We start from the raw sequence: 17,366 nt of genomic DNA, 5'->3' as shown, positions 1-17,366 counted from the left end.
GAATGTGAGCTGCCCACCACCCTCCCGCCCTCCCCCACTCCGCAACCCCACTCCAGCGGCTCGTAAAAAAAAAAAAAAAAACTTTCAACAACAACAGGCAGGACCAATAGCATCTCGAAAAGCCGGGAAAGGGGGCCGAGCAAAGGGCGAAAGAGAGTGGAGAAAGGAGAAAGCGGGCAGGCTCGGAGCGCGCGGGGCCGGGGCTCGGCGAGCCGGAGGAGCGTTGCTAATGTTTTTGTTTGTTTGCTTTTCCATGCATGCATAATGAGGGGGCACCGCGGCACCACGCGGGGGCTCCCGGCCCACTTTTGTATTTAAAGCCTCGCTGCTAACGAGTCTGCAGCCGGGCTCAGCGGATCCGCTCCCCGGGCTCTTGGTCACCCGAGAAGCTGCCGCCGAGTGAAGCCAGGGAGCCGCTCTCCGGCAGCGCCGACTTTCTTGTTCTCCCCGCGCTTCCCGGAAAGAGCTCCCCGGAGCTCTGCGGAGGCCGGGGTTGCCGCGGGCGGAGGGGGAGGGGACGCGGGGCGGCCGGGCCGCGGGAAGGCGGGCAGCGCGCGGACGCCGGGCCAGGAAGCGGCGCGATGCGAGAGACCGCGGCGGCGGTGGCGGCGGCGAGGCACTGAGCCCAGGAGGAAGGAGCCGCCGCGGCCGCAGCGCGAGCAGCCGGCACGGGGACAGCCGGCCGCACAACGGATCTGCAGGCGCGGAGCAAAATGCACCCGCCGCGCCGCGCGGTCCTGCAGCCCCGCCACGGCCCCGCGGCCCGCACCCCCCCGGGGCGACAGTGAGCCTCTCCCGCCACCACCGGGGGCCGAGCGGAGGGCTCTCGGGTGGGAGAGCGGGACCAGATCTCGACAGCTGTTCATTTCCAGGAAGCCACCGCAGCCAGAGCGAAAGGGGACCTTCTGCCACCAGCGGGGCATCAGCCAGCGGCGCGCATGGATTTATGAAGACACTCATGCAAGAAGTGGGCAGGACTTGGACAAACTTTTCCACCGGCTCCGCGTCCGCCGCTCCCCGCGCCTCGTCTCCTTTCCCCTCCTCTCCCGGCGGCCGCCGCTGCCCGCGATGGTGGCCGCGCTGCTGGGCGGCGGCGGCGAGGCCCGCGGGGGGACAGTGCCGGGCGCCTGGCTGTGCCTGATGGCGCTGCTGCAGCTGCTGGGCTCGGCGCCGCGGGGATCGGGGCTGGCGCACGGCCGCCGCCTCATCTGCTGGCAGGCGCTGCTGCAGTGCCAGGGGGAGCCGGAGTGCAGCTACGCCTACAACCAGTACGCCGAGGCGTGCGCGCCGGTGCTGGCGCAGCACGGCGGGGGCGACGCGCCCGGGGCCGCCGCCGCCGCTTTCCCGGCCTCGGCCGCCTCTTTCTCGTCGCGCTGGCGCTGCCCGAGTCACTGCATCTCGGCCCTCATTCAGCTCAACCACACGCGCCGCGGGCCCGCCCTGGAGGACTGTGACTGCGCGCAGGACGAGAACTGCAAGTCCACCAAGCGCGCCATTGAGCCGTGCCTGCCCCGGACGAGCGGCGGCGGCGCGGGCGGCCCCGGCGCGGGCGGGGTCATGGGCTGCACCGAGGCCCGGCGGCGCTGCGACCGCGACAGCCGCTGCAACCTGGCGCTGAGCCGCTACCTGACCTACTGCGGCAAAGTCTTCAACGGGCTGCGCTGCACGGACGAATGCCGCACCGTCATTGAGGACATGCTGGCTATGCCCAAGGCGGCGCTGCTCAACGACTGCGTGTGCGACGGCCTCGAGCGGCCCATCTGCGAGTCGGTCAAGGAGAACATGGCCCGCCTGTGCTTCGGCGCCGAGCTGGGCAACGGCCCCGGCAGCAGCGGCTCGGACGGGGGCCTGGACGACTACTACGATGAGGACTACGATGACGAGCAGCGCACCGGGGGCGCGGGTGGTGAGCAGCCGCTGGACGACGACGACGGCGTCCCGCACCCACCGCGCCCGGGCAGCGGCGCTGCTGCATCGGGCGGCCGCGGGGACCTGCCCTATGGGCCTGGGCGCAGGAGCAGCGGCGGCGGCGGCCGCTTGGCGCCCCGGGGCGCCTGGACCCCACTCGCCTCCATCTTGCTGCTGCTGCTTGGGCCGCTCTTTTAGCCCTCGCGCCCCCCGCCGTTGGCTGCGGGAGAGCCCGCGTCCCACTCCCGTGCTCGCCTCGACCCCGCGCCGGGCACCTGTGGCTTGGGACAGATAGAAGGGATGGTTGGGGATACTTCCCAAAACTTTTTCCAAGTCAACTTGGTGTAGCCGGTTCCCCGGCCACGACTCTGGGCACTTCCCCTGAAGCTCCTCTCCGGAGCTTGACTTCTTGGACCTCCTCCCCCGCCCCAATTCCAAGCTCCAGAAACTCCCAACTCGTCTGCCGTCCAGAAAGCTAGCTGCAGTGTTCAGGACGTCCGGGAGGAAGCAAGCATGTGGGGGACAGAACAGTAGTCCTGGACTCGAAAGGGAAGGTGCTGACCAGTGGGGCCTTAGCAATTTGAAGGGTTGGGAAGGAGGAATTATATTTGCAAAGGGGCTGTCTATTAGCATATTTCCTTTGAGGGGGCAAAAAAAAGTGCCAGTATCGACTTTTACAGATTGTGGCCAGTGAGGATATTATAATCCTATGTAAACAGAAAAGTCCCACTTACCGATTCATTCTTTCACTGTTTGTATCTGCGCCCAGAATTCTCAGTGACGTGGGGGTGAGGGTGGGTGGCGATTGCCTTAGAGGGAACCCCTAAATTGGTTTTGGATAAGTTTGAGCCCTTGACCTTAATTTCATTGCTACCACTCTGATCTCTTAGCACATTTCTTAGGATTAAGGGTCCAAAAATGCTGATCTAAGGGGTTGCCATGGTGTTGAACAATGCAACTTTTTATTTAAAAAAGCTCTGCACTGCCATGTATGAAAGTCTCTTTATGATGTTTGTTTTTTTGTCATTTTTGTTCTTTACATCAAGAAATTTTATGTTTAAATATGCGGAGAATGTATATTGCCTCTGCTCCTATCAGGGTTGCTAAACCCTGGTACATCGTATATAAAATGTATTAAAACTGGGGTTTGTTACCAGTTGCTGTACTTTGTATATAGAATTTTTATAAATTGTATGCTTCAGAAATAATTTATTTTTAAAAAGAAATTAAAAGTTTTAAACTCACATCCATATTACACCTTTCCCCCCTGAAATGTATAGAATCCATTTGTCATCAGGAATCAAAACCCACAGTCCATTGTGAAGTGTGCTATATTTAGAACAGTCTTAAAATGTACAGTGTATTTTATAGAATTGAAGTTAACATTCTTATTTTCAAGAGAATTTATGGACGTTGTAGAAATGTACAAATGCATTTCCAAACTGCCTTAAACGTTGTATTTTTATAGACATGTTTTTTAAAAATCCTAAGTTTTTAAATAACTATGGATTTGTGTATTTTTTTTGGTTATTTGTTTTATTAAAACATGTACATCAGTAAAGAGTTTTAAACAATGAATATGGTGTAGTTACTTTCCAGAGTTACATTGTGGTTAACCCAATAATGGGTGAGGAGGGGGGTTGAGGGGGCACTGAGAATCTATCAACCATCAACTGAAATGAAAATACAGTACAAGACAAGAAATTATTTCTGCCTTTAATTTAATGAACAATTAGACATCTGTAAATGAGGCAGCCAAAAATATGTAATTGACTGGCTTCTATTGGTGTTTGCATTTGTGGAGAGAATTCACAAAATAGTGTCTCCTGTACATAATTTGAGGATAACTCAGACATGTTGCCCCGCCTCCCCCTTTTCCCCTGAGACCTCCCCTCTTTGTATCCCCCTTCCCATCACCCCTTACCCCCAAGAGTATCCTCTCTGGCTACTAGCCATTCTCAATCAAACATGCCAATAACATCTGTTACCAATAGGTTTTAGGAAGCTTGCAAGCTCAATACTTCAAAGTCATTTTCACACTTTTGGTGAAAAAGTACAAAATTTTGTTGCAAAACATTCAGACCAGCAAAAGTAAACACACAGGGGAAAGGAACAATCACCAGAACTTGTAATATTGTTGTGAGGAGTTGTTTAGCAGTGGCTGAAGGCTGGGTTCCTGCCAGAGCTACTGATCTACACTCAAACGCCCTTAGATAAATAATTACACTCTTAAGCTGTGTCGAGTGCTGATACACTTGACCTTGTAAATAGAAATGTTTGCAGTAGGAATAAACTCCGGCATTGGAAAATCTTTTAAACATTAACACAAAAGAGAGCGCTCTGTCCTCTAGGGATTTGAGCCTGAACCTCGCCAAGCTAGGCACTTGCAAGGGGGAAAAAAAGTTTATTTATCTTCTATTCCTGGTGTTTGTTTAAAGCTTTTCATTTTAAACGCGGTGATTGGAAGGCAAGTCGGGAGTTTAAAAGTCACCACAAATAAACTTTGTCTGAGGGGTCGACAGATTAGCAAGATCTGGTGTCTCTTTATTTGATATTAACATGTGCTGAAAAAACATAACCAGATTTCTCTGCTGCCTAAAGTAATTAACGAAGCTATGCCCCCATTCTGACTTCCTCATACCCACTCCCACCCCCCTACTTTTCAAGGTTTCTTGTGCTTCTAACTCGCTCTTTTCCCAGCTTTTATGGAGGTATTCAAGACACTTCTTGGTGCACCTAAAACCACGATTTCTATATGTATAGTATTAGAAAGTCTAAGATAGCTGTAGTGTCAGACTTAAGCCCAGGAGAGTGGTGTGTGGTTGGAATCTCCAGTCACCTGAATGGTTGAGTAAACATATTGTTAAAACAAAGCTGAGAGCGTTGTTTCTTTGGGAAGCGAACAAAGAGTATTCCCAGAGACTTGTAAATGAAATCAGCTTTCTTTACAAAACGACAAGTTAGCAGTGCTCCTGCGTTTGTCCTTAAATATATTTAAATCATCTCCATCTCATGTTATTTTAACACATGCTTGACTAAAAGTTAAGTCTTTGTCCCAGTAAAAGGCCCAGTTTTCCCCAGTAAGAAGTAAAAGGCATTAGCACTAGAAAAGGCCTGATAATTAACTGCTACAATAAACTCACAACTTGATTTTACAGGGTCCTGTCAAAAGCATCTGCCTGGAATAAATCAACACAACTCGCTCTTGGGGAGAGAGGACACGAGGCTTTATGTTTTCTTCCTTAAAGAAAGTGAACATTGATTGGTGGTCCATTTTAATTTAAACAATTATACACTGGAGCCCAGGAGTCCTCTGGTACCCCTACAGACCTAGCGGAGGTTGTTGAGATGTTAGAACCCTTTGGCTAGTGGTTATGAGATTGCATATTGCCATCTGCTTCTAAGCAGAAAGGATTTTTACAGATGTTGACATCTGTAATATCTCACGCTCTCTGGGGAGCCTTTTGGAATTTTGGACATTTGGCCATCTCAAATGTCCCATGGAGAATGGCTGGAAGTCCCATTAATGAAAGAAAAGGTATCTCTGGCTTTTCCTGGGGATTCTCAAAAAGCATCACCCTTCTAACAGAACTCTGCCAGAGTGAGAGGAACTCCTTCTAGATTTCATGTAAAATCATGAGTCCTCACGGCCTTTCCCATTTCCCCAGTTAGCAGGTTTGAATTCTCAGTGACAGTTTATTTGTCTTTGGAGGCACTTCAGTGACAAATGTTTAAGGGAGTGTGGGACAATGGTCGAGAACAAGGAGGCAGTTCATTGAACTGACAGTGACCATACAGTAAATAGAAGGAGGTTCAGGCTTCACTGCTCACCCGAGCACACAGCAACGCTTTTGTATATAATCACAATGGACATAACATAAGGTCCCTGTTTATTTTAAACAATATATAGCTATGTACGTGAGCAATACACGTATGTAAAGTGGAAACGTGTCTGTAGGGAAATAAGTTCTTCTACTAAGTAGCAGGACTTCTCTGTACTTGGACAGCAACGCTTCAAATGTCTAGAAGGATGGACACAGCTCCTGGCCCTGACTGCCACAAATTTAAGGGACCACCAGGCTCTAACACATCTAGGGTGCACCGCCATTCTCCAGATGGGGTCCCTGTGAGTGAAGACAGAATCTTTCCATCTCTCTGCCTTGAAGAGTCAGGAGAACCCTCATGGGAGTGAGCTTTCTCTGTTCCTTGCCACCATCTGTATTGACACCCTCACCCCATCCCAGCAATGTTACAGAGAATCAAATAAAAATAGATCCCCAAAATACAATGAGGACTTTCAGAAACCTCAAACATTGTATTAAAATTTTGTCTACTTTTAAACTTTGGCTTTGCATTGTTAGCTTGTTGAGTTCATTGTGGAGGCTCTCTAACAAAATAACCTCATGTATCTCTTTTCAACCCATAAAAAGAAAAGCCTGCGTTATTTGTGTTTTGACCTCTTACACCAAGGGACATCAGAACTCTTGCCAATTGACCCTGTTTCTCCCAGCTACTCAAAGCAAGGTTGTGGGAGGGCATCAGGTTGCAAATGCCTTGTGGCCAATGTAGTTAAGGAGGGTTGAGTTTCCAGTGGGTCTCGTTGCCTTGTGAGTGAAGTAAAGTTGGACTTTACTGTAGTCTATTTGAGAGATTGCCTCTGGAAGACAGTGGAAAAGGTTCACCCTTGACTATCTGAATGACATAAGTCATGTGCTATTAGCATAAATACCTTCCTTCTAAGCATCAATTTAATCAATTTCTTAAATAACAGAATGATCTACTACAAAATAGTGGACTGTATACACTATATTTTGGCACAAAGATGGTCATTCTCCCACTAGTAACCAGGGGCTCTAAATAAATGATTTCAACAATGTTTTATTAAAGGACGACAAGAGCCCTCGAGCTGCATTAATCGGGGAGAAGTCGAGTGGCACTTTTGTTATGGAAATGTTAAGCACATAATAGCACAGCCAAACAATGTGCAGCCACTTCATTCTTTCAGCCATGCTGACACCTCTTAAAGAGGAACTGCAGGGAAGGATGTGGGAAAGATTTGCTTTCCGAGGAAGCTTTCAGCTAATATTTTGGAGGGCTACCTTCAAACCCTGTGTAATATGCATGCAAGAGAATCCCGAAGGGCTGCTGAGATGCAGAAAGTGTTTTCTCCACTTATTTCAGGAGCATGGGTTCCATAATAAAATCAAATGTCTATGGTTTTTGATACGGTATTCACCAAAACAATACTTTACTGATTTTGTTGTTCTAAGAGTTCAATTTTATAAAGTTGATCAAAGACAGCTACTCTCAATGGTGCTGGTATATACTATAATTATCTATAGCATGTTCTCCTTAAGCACACAGATAGCATCTACACAATGTTGTCAAGGACATCTTCAATCTGTAATAAAAAATAAAATGCTATTATAGACAACTTTATGTTCTCTGGTTATCAGTATGTGTCCTTACAAGTTTATCTTTTATTTAAATTTTAGAAGTGCTATAGGATATTTACGGGTTCTTGGATACCAGAATGGGGTTAATACCACAACTAAATCTGATTGTATATTTTATCCCTGATTAGATGTTACTAAGCATCAAAATGAGGAACAATTTCAGTGAGATTTGAGGTCTTTGTCATAGACATTTCTTTTAGGAAAAATGCCAGCCTTTGGGTTTTAATCCATGTCACTTCTTACCTGCCAGTTAGTTTCACTGATGTGGAGCATCCTTCTGTAACAAACATTGAAGTGAGTTTTGCAAAGACTAAAACTTATGTCCATAATCCTGAACAGGTGCTGGGGGGTATAAAAAGAGTTCCAGAGGCATTTCCTGAGGGTGTGCTATGTGTGGGTGTACCCATGTGAATATGATACAGTCACGTCCATTGACAAGCTGACACTCAGAATAAGGAGATAGGCACACATAGAAACTTATTATATGACATGGCAAGCATAGAAGAGGATCACAGCACAATGCTGGGTTTAAGGAAAGCTTCTTGGAGAAGGTGACATTGAAGGTAAATCTAAAGACAGGCATGGAAGGTAGCCAAGAGAAAGGTGGGGAAGGCCATTGGATTAGAGGTAATAAAAGAGAAAACTTCAGTTGCATTAAATGTAAGAGTTTAATTAAGCAAAGAACGCTTTGCAAATTGGTCAGCCTCCTGAGCCACAGTAGATTGGGGTACTCCAGCGCAGCCACGTGCTGGAAGAAGATTTATAGACAGAAAAAGGACAGTGACATACAGAAAATGGAAGTGAGGGACAGAAACAGCTGGATTGGTTACAGCTCAGTGTTTGCCTTATTTACACACGGTTCAAACAGTTGGCTATACTGGATTGGCCGAAACTTGGTGATTGGCACAAGAGTAGGTTACGGTCTGTTCACATCTCCACTTGTTATGGTACAGGGAAACCTTTAGGCTGAACTTAAAATATGTAAGGAGACAGCATTAGGCTAAACTTGATTTAACAGGGAGAACAGCGTGACCAAAGGCATACAGGGATGAATCAGCATGGTGCTATGCATGAGACCACCTGTTCCCACCAAAGTAGAGAGTAGCAGGGGCCTGAAAGAATTGTTCATGCCAAGTCATCGAAGCCTTGAAGGACATGCTAGGCATAGACTTTACCCTACACAATGAGAAAGATTGGGAATCCTTGGGTGTTCCCAGCTGAAAGCTCAAAAGTTCACTTTTTTGCACAGAGCATATGTTAGCTGTAAGGGAAAAAGCCCAGAGATGAGAGAACAGTTCAGAAGCTACTGCAGGGTCCAGTGAACAAAGGCCAGGGTTGGAACTCAAGGAGTGTCAGTGAAGGGGAGGAAGAAGTCAGGTTCAAGACACCATAATTGGTCAAATATGGGGCATTCAGGGAGGGAAGAGGCCAAAATGACTGCTGGGTTTCTGGCTCAGGTAACCAGTGGATGATGTCACCTTTGATCCTAGAGGAAGAAAGGTGGGAGAGCAAGTGATGTGTGAGGACATACGGGATGCCCTGTTGGTGGTGCACTGCAGGAAACCAGCTACAGGCCTAAAGTTCAGGCAGAAGTCAGCCTTGCATAGTGGTCATTGTGAAAACTGAGGGAGAAAGACATGCAGTGGGAAGAGGAAGGGGTGCCCAGAGAGTACTCCTAGCAGGGATGAAAGAAAGTGAGAGGTGTCTGAGGAAAGCAGGAACACGGAATAATAATAACATTTCTGGGCACGTACACTTAAATATTAAAATGCTTAAGAGAGCAATACTATAAGCAAAGCTTAGAAAGCAAGATGAATTCACTGAATTTCTAAGAAAACGTAACTGATCAAAATATTATTCATTTTAACAATAATAGTAATCATAATTGTAATTACAACTAATTCCAGGAAAATTAAAATGACCAAGTTACACAATTATATTCAAATAATAATAATAATCAATGATTGTTCACATTATTAAGTGATTATTATTTACCATGACAATGCCGAGCACATAACATGTATCACATTATTTCAACATTACTACATCTTTATGAATAATAATTGTTATTTTTATTGTTATTTTTGTTATCACAACCACTGTAAAAATGAGGGAGCAGATGCTTAAATGACTTGACCATAGTCATTCAGTGGGAAAGCTGGTGAATATAAAATCTAGGTCTCTTTGCATCAAGAGGTTGTGATTATAACTTTAATACCTTACTGATTCTCAAAATGTTAAAAGCCCAAAGAACCCAAGAACATTTGAAATATTGGGCAAAATTCAAATAACTTTTTCTTTTCTTTCTTTCTTTCTTTTTTGTTTTTTTTTTTTGAGACAAGGTCTCACTCTGTCACCCAACCTGGAGTGCAGTGGTGTAATCATGACTCACTGCAGCCTCAGCCTCCCATGCTCAAGCAATCCTCTCACCTCAGCCTCCTGAGTAGATAAAAATACAGATGTGCACCACCACGCCCACCTAAATTGTTTAAATTTTTTGTGGAGATGGAGTCTCACTATGTTGCCCAGGCTGGTCTTGAACTCCTGGGCTCAAACAACCCTCTGGCCTTGGCCTCCCAAATTGTTGGGATCACAGGCATAAGCCACCACATCTGGCTCCAGTGACTTTTTCTAATCATCTGTCTATGAGAGGAAATGTGTCTTAATGTTAGCAGTCAATGATGTAATTGTGAGTCGTTATTATTTTCTTCCTTACAGATTTAAATGTTCTCTAAATTTCATCAATGAATATATATTATCCTGCTTTCACAATGAAAATGTTTTTAAAATATTATTCAGAACCATGAAGAAGAAACAACAGAATGTGGATTCAGTCCCTGTTGGTGCTAACCTGCCCCTGACAACCATTACCTATACTTTGGAGGAACGGGCCCTCTTTTTCCCTTATTTGTTTAGTAGACTTTGGATTCATGAAGAAGTTTGTATTCATAAAATAACACAAACTCTGAAACTGTTCTATTTGAAAAATATATGATGTATGAAAATAAATCATAACACAAAAGTGTTAGAGTGAGAAGACTTGATAAATTGTTTACTCATTCATTCAATCAAAATTTATTGAGCACCACTTACTATGGGCTAAGCACCATGCTGGGCTCTAGGGATACAACAGTGAACCAAAGAGTGAACTTTCCTGCTATCTATGAGTGTGGGTCAACACTAGAAACCTGCTTTTTGGAACCCCCCTCTCTTGTCTTCTGTAACAAGCCCATTCTTCCTCTACTAAAGAATGATTGCACCTTTCTTTTTTTTTTCTCTCTACATCTGTTCATTAACCATTTTGTTTATCTTCTCTTTCTCAAAATATGTTTGTGCCTTACAGATATTTGTGGGAAAATATTAGCTCTCATATTAATCTTCTGGGTTTTTAAAAATGTGTTTTATGAGTGGAAGACTTCAGTCCTATAATATTTCAGTATATTTAAAAAGTGTATGAAAGTACAGCTGTCTTATTTTAGGGAAGTTCTGATAGAAGGGCTAAGCCAAAAATTGTTATGGCACTTTCAGGGGCTAAATTATGCCCTGATTCTTGACATGTACTAAAATGAAAACATACTGTTATATTCTAGAAGGACAAGTTATTTATAGTAACTAAATTGATCATAACATTTCACATTGCATATTATTTTAAAAATAATTATGAGTAAGTTCTAGAAACACATAGACTCATATTTCATGTAAATTGCCAAAGGGGGTCCTTGCTCACTGTCTCCTGATTTTTCTCTATTTCACAAAATCCAGCCTATTGAAACCAATAGTATTTTAAGGCAAAACAAGAGGAAAAAAAACCTGCCAATATTTAGGTTACTGCCAGGAGATTCATGATTTTATTATTTGGCCTCTGCTGCATAATAGACCACCCCAAAACTTAATAGCTTAAAGTTTTTAGTCATTCCTTTGATCCCAATTTTGGATCTCCTTTGTTGGATCAATAATTTGGGCTGGGCTCAGCAAAGTAATAATCTTGACCTTTTCTTGGCTAATTTGGCTGTAGTTAGCTGCTAGGTCAGGGTAGGGAGGGTTGGTTCCTGGTGGCCTCATTCACATGTCTGGCAATTGGCTGGGTTGACAGTGACAACTGGACTACATGTCTCACATCTAGCAAGGTAACCCAAGTTTCTTATCGTGACAGCTAGAGTCCAAAAACAGCAAGAGAGGGGAAGCCCCCGTTTGCAAGAACTTTTTTTTTTTTTTTTTTTTTTGAGACGGAGTCTCGCCCTATCGCCAGGCTGGAGTGCAGTGGCACGATCTCAGGTTACTGCAACCTCTGCCTCCCGGGTTCAAGAGATTCTTCTTCCTCAGCCTCCCAAGTAGTTGGGTCTACAGGCGCACGCTACCACACCTGGCTAATTTTTGTATTTTTAGTAGAGAGGGGGTTTCACCATATTGGCCAGGCTGGTCTCGAACTCCAGACCTTGTGATCTGCCCGCCTCAGCCTCTCAAAGTGCTGGGATTACAGAGGGGAGCCACCACGACCGGCCTGCAAGAACTTTTTAAGCTTCCGCTAGCAGCACATGTGCGAGCATCTATATGAAATTCACATGACCAAGCCCAGCTTCAAGAGGTGGAGAAATAGACTCTCGACCTCTCTGTGGGAAGACAGGCAGCAGCCTTTGCATAGAGGTGAGCATTTGGGGATGTTAAGAATTATGACAGCCATTCTATAAACGATCTTCTACAACAATGGATCATTTTCCCTGGGTTCTGTTCCCACATCTTTTGTTGGCATGATAGGAAGAAAGAGTAGTAAGAAAGCAGTTCATTGTTTTGGTTTTCAGAATTTATAGAACTTTAAAGCCAAAAAGCCAGAAAAGACCTGAAATACCGATCTACTATTTTATTCACCAAACACTTGCATTGATTTGGTTTCTAGTAGGACCTGCTTCTATATCAAAACATTTCACATAATCCTGCATTGTTTGCCTTCCAGGTGAGTTTTAGAATTAGCTTGTGAAGTTTATTTTAAAAAGCTTTTGTTGAGATTTTGATTGGAATTGAATGGGATTTACAGATCCATCCAATTCCAGCTTGATAACAGTGAATCTTTCCATCTTTCCAGTTAGATAAATATTATAGTTATCTATAAACAGGTCTTGCTGAAGGTTTTGTATCTTTTTAAAATTCAGGTCTTGTTTATTTCTTCTTAGATTTATTCCTAGGTATTTTGTAGTTTCTGCTAGATTATTATTATTATTATTATTATTATTATTACACTATTTTATTATTACAATGAGTACGGGCCAGGTGTGGTGGCTCACGCCTATAATCCCAGCACTTTGGGTCTACTAAAAATACAAAAAAAATTAGCTGGGTGTGGTGGTGGGCGCCTGTAATCTCAGCTCCTTGGGAGGCTGAGGCAGGAGAATCACTTGAACCAGGGAGGCGGAGGGTGCAGTGAGCCGAGATCGTCCCATTGCACTCCAGCCTTGGCAACAAGACCAAAACTCCATCTCAAAAAAAAAGAAAAAAAAAATTGAGTACATAGGAAACTATTGGTTTTTATACATTGATGTTGTGTCTAAATACTTGGCTGAACTCTTATGAGTTCTAACTATTGGCAGTAGACTCTCTTTGATTTCCTAGACATAAATATAATAATGTTTTCTATCTAGGAAATGGTAAACTTTAAAAGTTTAATTATAAGGTAGACTCTGAAACCATATCAATAAACATTTCATAATCTGTTACATTAAATTCTATTATTCTATCTTGCACTTTTAATGGATCATTCATTCATGCATCATTTTGTAACATCATGCCTCAATCTTTTGAAAGATATTTGTCACTGAATTATGAAGATTTTCCAAGTGTTGACACATTTAATCTCATAATAGTAAATAAATCACATTTGTTAATATCCCCACTGATTCCATCATATAATTCTTTGTTGAAAAATGTCAATCTCACAGTATAGGATAAAAGTTTTTTCTGAAGTTCTAATTTTTACATGAATACCACATTTTTACTATTGACAACAAATTCTGTTATTTTCCTTAAATTGTGTTTGTTTTTAATAAATATTTGTCAAATATCCAAGTCTGAAAAACTTAATTTCCCTTACAGTTACGTTTTTGCAGTCTCTTCACGTAAAAATGGTGTTCCATGAAAAAAAAAAAAGTGGCTAATTCTATTTGTAACTCAACCACAAGCTTTTTTCTTAAGAAAAACATTTAATCCATACTTCCCATTTAATCATCAGCATGTTAAAAAGATGTATACTCAAGGGTTGAGATCAGATAAAATTGTTACTACTTTATTGAGGTTATTCTTAGGTGAAAGAGTCAATATTTTGTGCAAATACATAGCAGGGAAGAATACTGGTACAGTGTGGTGCAATTGCCTTTGTGCTAATTCACAATGAGTTTAACCCACCATTGTTTTTTGCTCCATCAGTGCAAATAGATGTCAACAGTGCAAAAGGAAAATTGAGCTTTGGGATTATTTGACCCCATGGCCTCCCTGAAAGAAGCTTAGGAATCCTCCAGAAATCTATACACTACACTTTAAAAATGGCTGATATATTTTTACTTTTTAATATATATAATATTTATGTCACATAATTACTTTTCATGTCTTATTGTTGTAGCTAGGATTTCCACTTAAATAGGAGGGTATGATAATGGCTATTCTTGCATGCTGACTTCAGGGATGGCATTTGTAATGTTTTTTATTATGATGCTGGGTATAGGTTTCTAGTTTATGCTTTGTCAAGTTAAAGAATTTTCTTTTCAGTTTATTTTTTGTTTATTGGTCTATTGTGAAATTCTATTCTTTTTGTTTCTTTTTTTTTCTTCTTCTTTTTGAGGCATGGTCTTGCTGTGCCCTGCAGGCTGGAATGCAGTGACTCAATCACAGCTTACTGCAGCTTCCATCTCCCAGGCTCAAGAGATCCTCCTGCCTCAGTCTCCTGAGTAGCTAGAACCTCAGGCACGTGCTGCCATGCCTGGCCAATTTTTTTTATTTTTAGTTGAGATGAAGTCTCACTATGTTGGCCAGGTTGGTCTCAAACTTCAAGCTATCCTCCCACCTCGGCCTCCCAAAATGCTAGCATTACAGGTGTGAGCCACTGCACCTAGCCCTATTCTTGAGCTATTGTTGGTGATCTATATTTTCATATAGATAAAATAAAATCACTTTATCTAGGTTTCCAATATATTAATGTTACATTGTGGAAGATATTCTCTTTCAGTTTTTAACATTTTCTGATCCTGTGTTTATATCTTCCTTCTTTTTTAAGCTTCTATGTGCCTTCTTTCTTTGGAAGTTTTGCTTGTATTATTGGTCTTTTCTTTTCTTTTTTTTGAGACAGAGTCTCGCTGTGAGGCCCGGGCTGGAGTGCAGTGGCACAATCTCAGCTCACTGCAACCTCCGCCTCCTGGGTTCAAGCGATTCTCTTGCCCCAGACTCCTGAGTAGCTGGGATTACAGGTGCTCACCATCATTACCAACTAATTTTTTTGTAATTTTAGTAGAGACGGGGTTTCACCATATTGGCCGGGCTGGTCTTGAACTGACTGCAAATGATCTGCCCGCTTTGGCCTCCCAAAGGACTGGGATTACAGGCATGAGCCACCGTGTCCAGCCTATTGGTCCTTTCAAATAGCAAGTTTTTAGTTTCATCTATCAAATGTATTCTATGATTGGTTGTTTCTTATCTTAATAATTTCTGCTGTACCATTCTTGATTGCATTTTTCTACTTTATGTTTCTGTTATTTTCCTGGGTTCCTCAGCTAAATGTTTAGCTTATTTATTTTCATTTTTTCATGTGCTCTAACAAGTTCATTTCTAAATGTTACTTTTCCTTTGTGCAACTTTTGGGTTACAGGTTTTGATGTGCTATTTCCTTATTATAATTTATTTGCAAAGAGTACGTACTTCCTATTTTGATTGTCTCTTTAGCCTCAGAATTATCTATGTTATAATTTTGTAGGTATTATTTTCTCGTTTTACAGCATTTTTGATTAACGAACACAGCCTAATAACTTCTGCTGTATGCAACTTCATGCTATTTAATGTATGGCTGTTAATATGATAAAATGTTAAATTTATATTAGGTGCATTAAAAAGAAATGTGTAATCTCTGATTTTGTCTGAGTTCTTCTTTACAACAGTGTATCAATTTACTTATCTTAATTCTCTGTATGTCTTTTTCTGTTATTTTCTTTAGGAGATATGTTAATATTTCCTGTCACACTATGGATCCATCAGTTTTTCCTCTTATTTCTGTCAGATTTTATGTATATATTTTGAAGGTATAGTGTTAAATGCATTTAGGTACACGACTTTTATCTTTATGGAGGAATATATTTTTTAACAATATGAACCTTAATTTTGCCCTTTTAATAATGTTTACCTTTAATTTTATTTTGTGTAAGAATGTCACATCAGGGCTGGGCGTGGTGGCTCACGCCAGTAATCCCAGCACTTTGGGAGGCCAAGGTGGGCGGATCACCTGAGTTGGAGACCAGCCTGGTCAACATGATGAAACCCCATCTCTACTAAAAATACAAAAATTAGCCTGGCATGGTGGTGTGTGCCTGTAATCCCAGCTACTAGGGAGGTTGAGGCAGAAGAATTGCTTGAACCCAGGAGGCGGAGGTTGCAGTGAGCCAAGATCATGCCACTGCACTCCAGCCTGGGCGACAGAGCAAGACTCCTTCTCAAAAACAAAAACAAAAACAAAAACAAACAAAAAAAATTGTACCTACTTTTATTTTGTTAACTGTTTTTTGAAGAAACTTCATTTTGCTTTTTCTTTGTAGAGAGTAACACGCACACATTAAAAATTTTAAAGATGCAGTTAATGAAAAATAAGACACTAAAAGCCACCCATAATGATAACACCTATAGATAATCTAAGTACATTTACATGTAACCTTTTGAGCTTTTCTATATATTTAAATTAAAATTAAAAAGTACATTCTACTTTATAAGTTGTGTCATCATACTCACAATCCCTCTAATACCACTTTAGGGAGTGGTAGCTTTTTAAATATCTTCCTCTTTATATTAGTCCATTTTCATGCTGCTGATAAAGACATACCCAAGACTGGGCAATTTAAAAAAGAAAGGTTTAATTGACTTACAGTTCCATGTGGCTGGGGAAGCCTCACAATCATGGCAGAAGGTAAAAGGCATGTCTCACATAGCAGCAGACAAGAGAAGAGAGAGCTTGTGCAGGGAAACTCCCATTTTTAAAACCATCAGATCTTGTGAGACTTATTCACTATCATGAGAACAATACGGGAAACACCCGTCCCCATGATTCAATCATCGCCCGCTGGGTGCCTCCCACAACATGTGAGAATTATGGGAGTACACGATGAGATTTGGGTGGGTACACAGAGCCAAACCATAATCGCTTGTCAATCCATTTATCTTCTTGTAATTTAGGTCTTGTAATGAGCACATAGTTGGGTAGTATGAATTTTGTTTGATTGATTGGTACCATTTTTTTAAATCCAATGGAGCTTTTTATTTCTTCATAGCAATTCAAAAACTATTTATATTTATTGGTTACTGGTTTGTTTTGATACATTCTCACCATTTTACTTTATGTTTTAAATTTGCCATGCTTTCATGGTTTTTTTTTCTCAAAAATCTCCCATTGATAGCCTTTGTTGGACAGACTATGTATGCTTGTTGCTGTTTTATTAATTTTTAAATTTAATTTTTGTGGGTACATAGTAGGTGTATATATTTATAGGGCACATGAGTTTTTTTTTTTTTTGAGACAGCAGAGTCTCGCTGTAGGCATGCAATACATAATAATCACATCATGGAAAAGTTATCCCTTGTGTTACAAACAATCCAATTATACTCTTTTAGTTATTTTTAAATGTACAGTGAAATTATTATTGGCTATAGTCATCCTGTTGTGCTATCAAATACTCGATCTTAATCATTTTTTTCTAACTTTTTTTATACGTATTAACCATCCCCTTCTCCCCTGGTCCCCTCCCACTACCCTTCTCTGTTTCT

General features: G+C 42.4%; 1 protein-coding gene across 1 annotated transcript, besides 3 other annotated features; it reads left to right on the top strand.

Moving 5' to 3' along the window:
* GAS1 (growth arrest specific 1) lies at positions 342-3,486 on the top strand. Its single transcript, NM_002048.3, has one exon. It carries the CDS (start codon positions 1,069-1,071, stop codon positions 2,104-2,106), a length of 1,038 nt encoding a protein of 345 aa, NP_002039.2. The 5' UTR covers positions 342-1,068; the 3' UTR covers positions 2,107-3,486.
* Positions 1,132-1,211: a silencer, noted in NCBI's record as "silent region_19999". NCBI's record gives its function as "represses an Ori minimal core promoter by ATAC-STARR-seq in GM12878 lymphoblastoid cells {active_cell/tissue: GM12878}" and the evidence as "EXISTENCE:reporter gene assay evidence [ECO:0000049][PMID:35858748]".
* Positions 1,282-1,351: a silencer, noted in NCBI's record as "silent region_19998". NCBI's record gives its function as "represses an Ori minimal core promoter by ATAC-STARR-seq in GM12878 lymphoblastoid cells {active_cell/tissue: GM12878}" and the evidence as "EXISTENCE:reporter gene assay evidence [ECO:0000049][PMID:35858748]".
* Positions 6,427-7,127: an enhancer, noted in NCBI's record as "OCT4-NANOG hESC enhancer chr9:89555636-89556336 (GRCh37/hg19 assembly coordinates)". NCBI's record gives its function as "activates a minimal SCP1, AML or CMV promoter by ChIP-STARR-seq in naive H9 embryonic stem cells {active_cell/tissue: H9 hESC(naive)}" and the evidence as "EXISTENCE:reporter gene assay evidence [ECO:0000049][PMID:30033119]".

Source organism: Homo sapiens, chromosome 9 (assembly GCF_000001405.40).
Source record: "Homo sapiens chromosome 9, GRCh38.p14 Primary Assembly".
In the NCBI taxonomy this organism is placed as follows: Eukaryota; Metazoa; Chordata; class Mammalia; order Primates; family Hominidae; genus Homo; species Homo sapiens.
This window is presented reverse-complemented; position numbering and strand designations above follow the sequence as displayed.

Bases quoted from the DNA above. Each gene is read 5' to 3' on its own strand.
- GAS1 (NM_002048.3), top strand. From the start codon at position 1,069: ATGGTGGCCGCGCTGCTGGGCGGCGGCGGCGAGGCCCGCGGGGGGACA.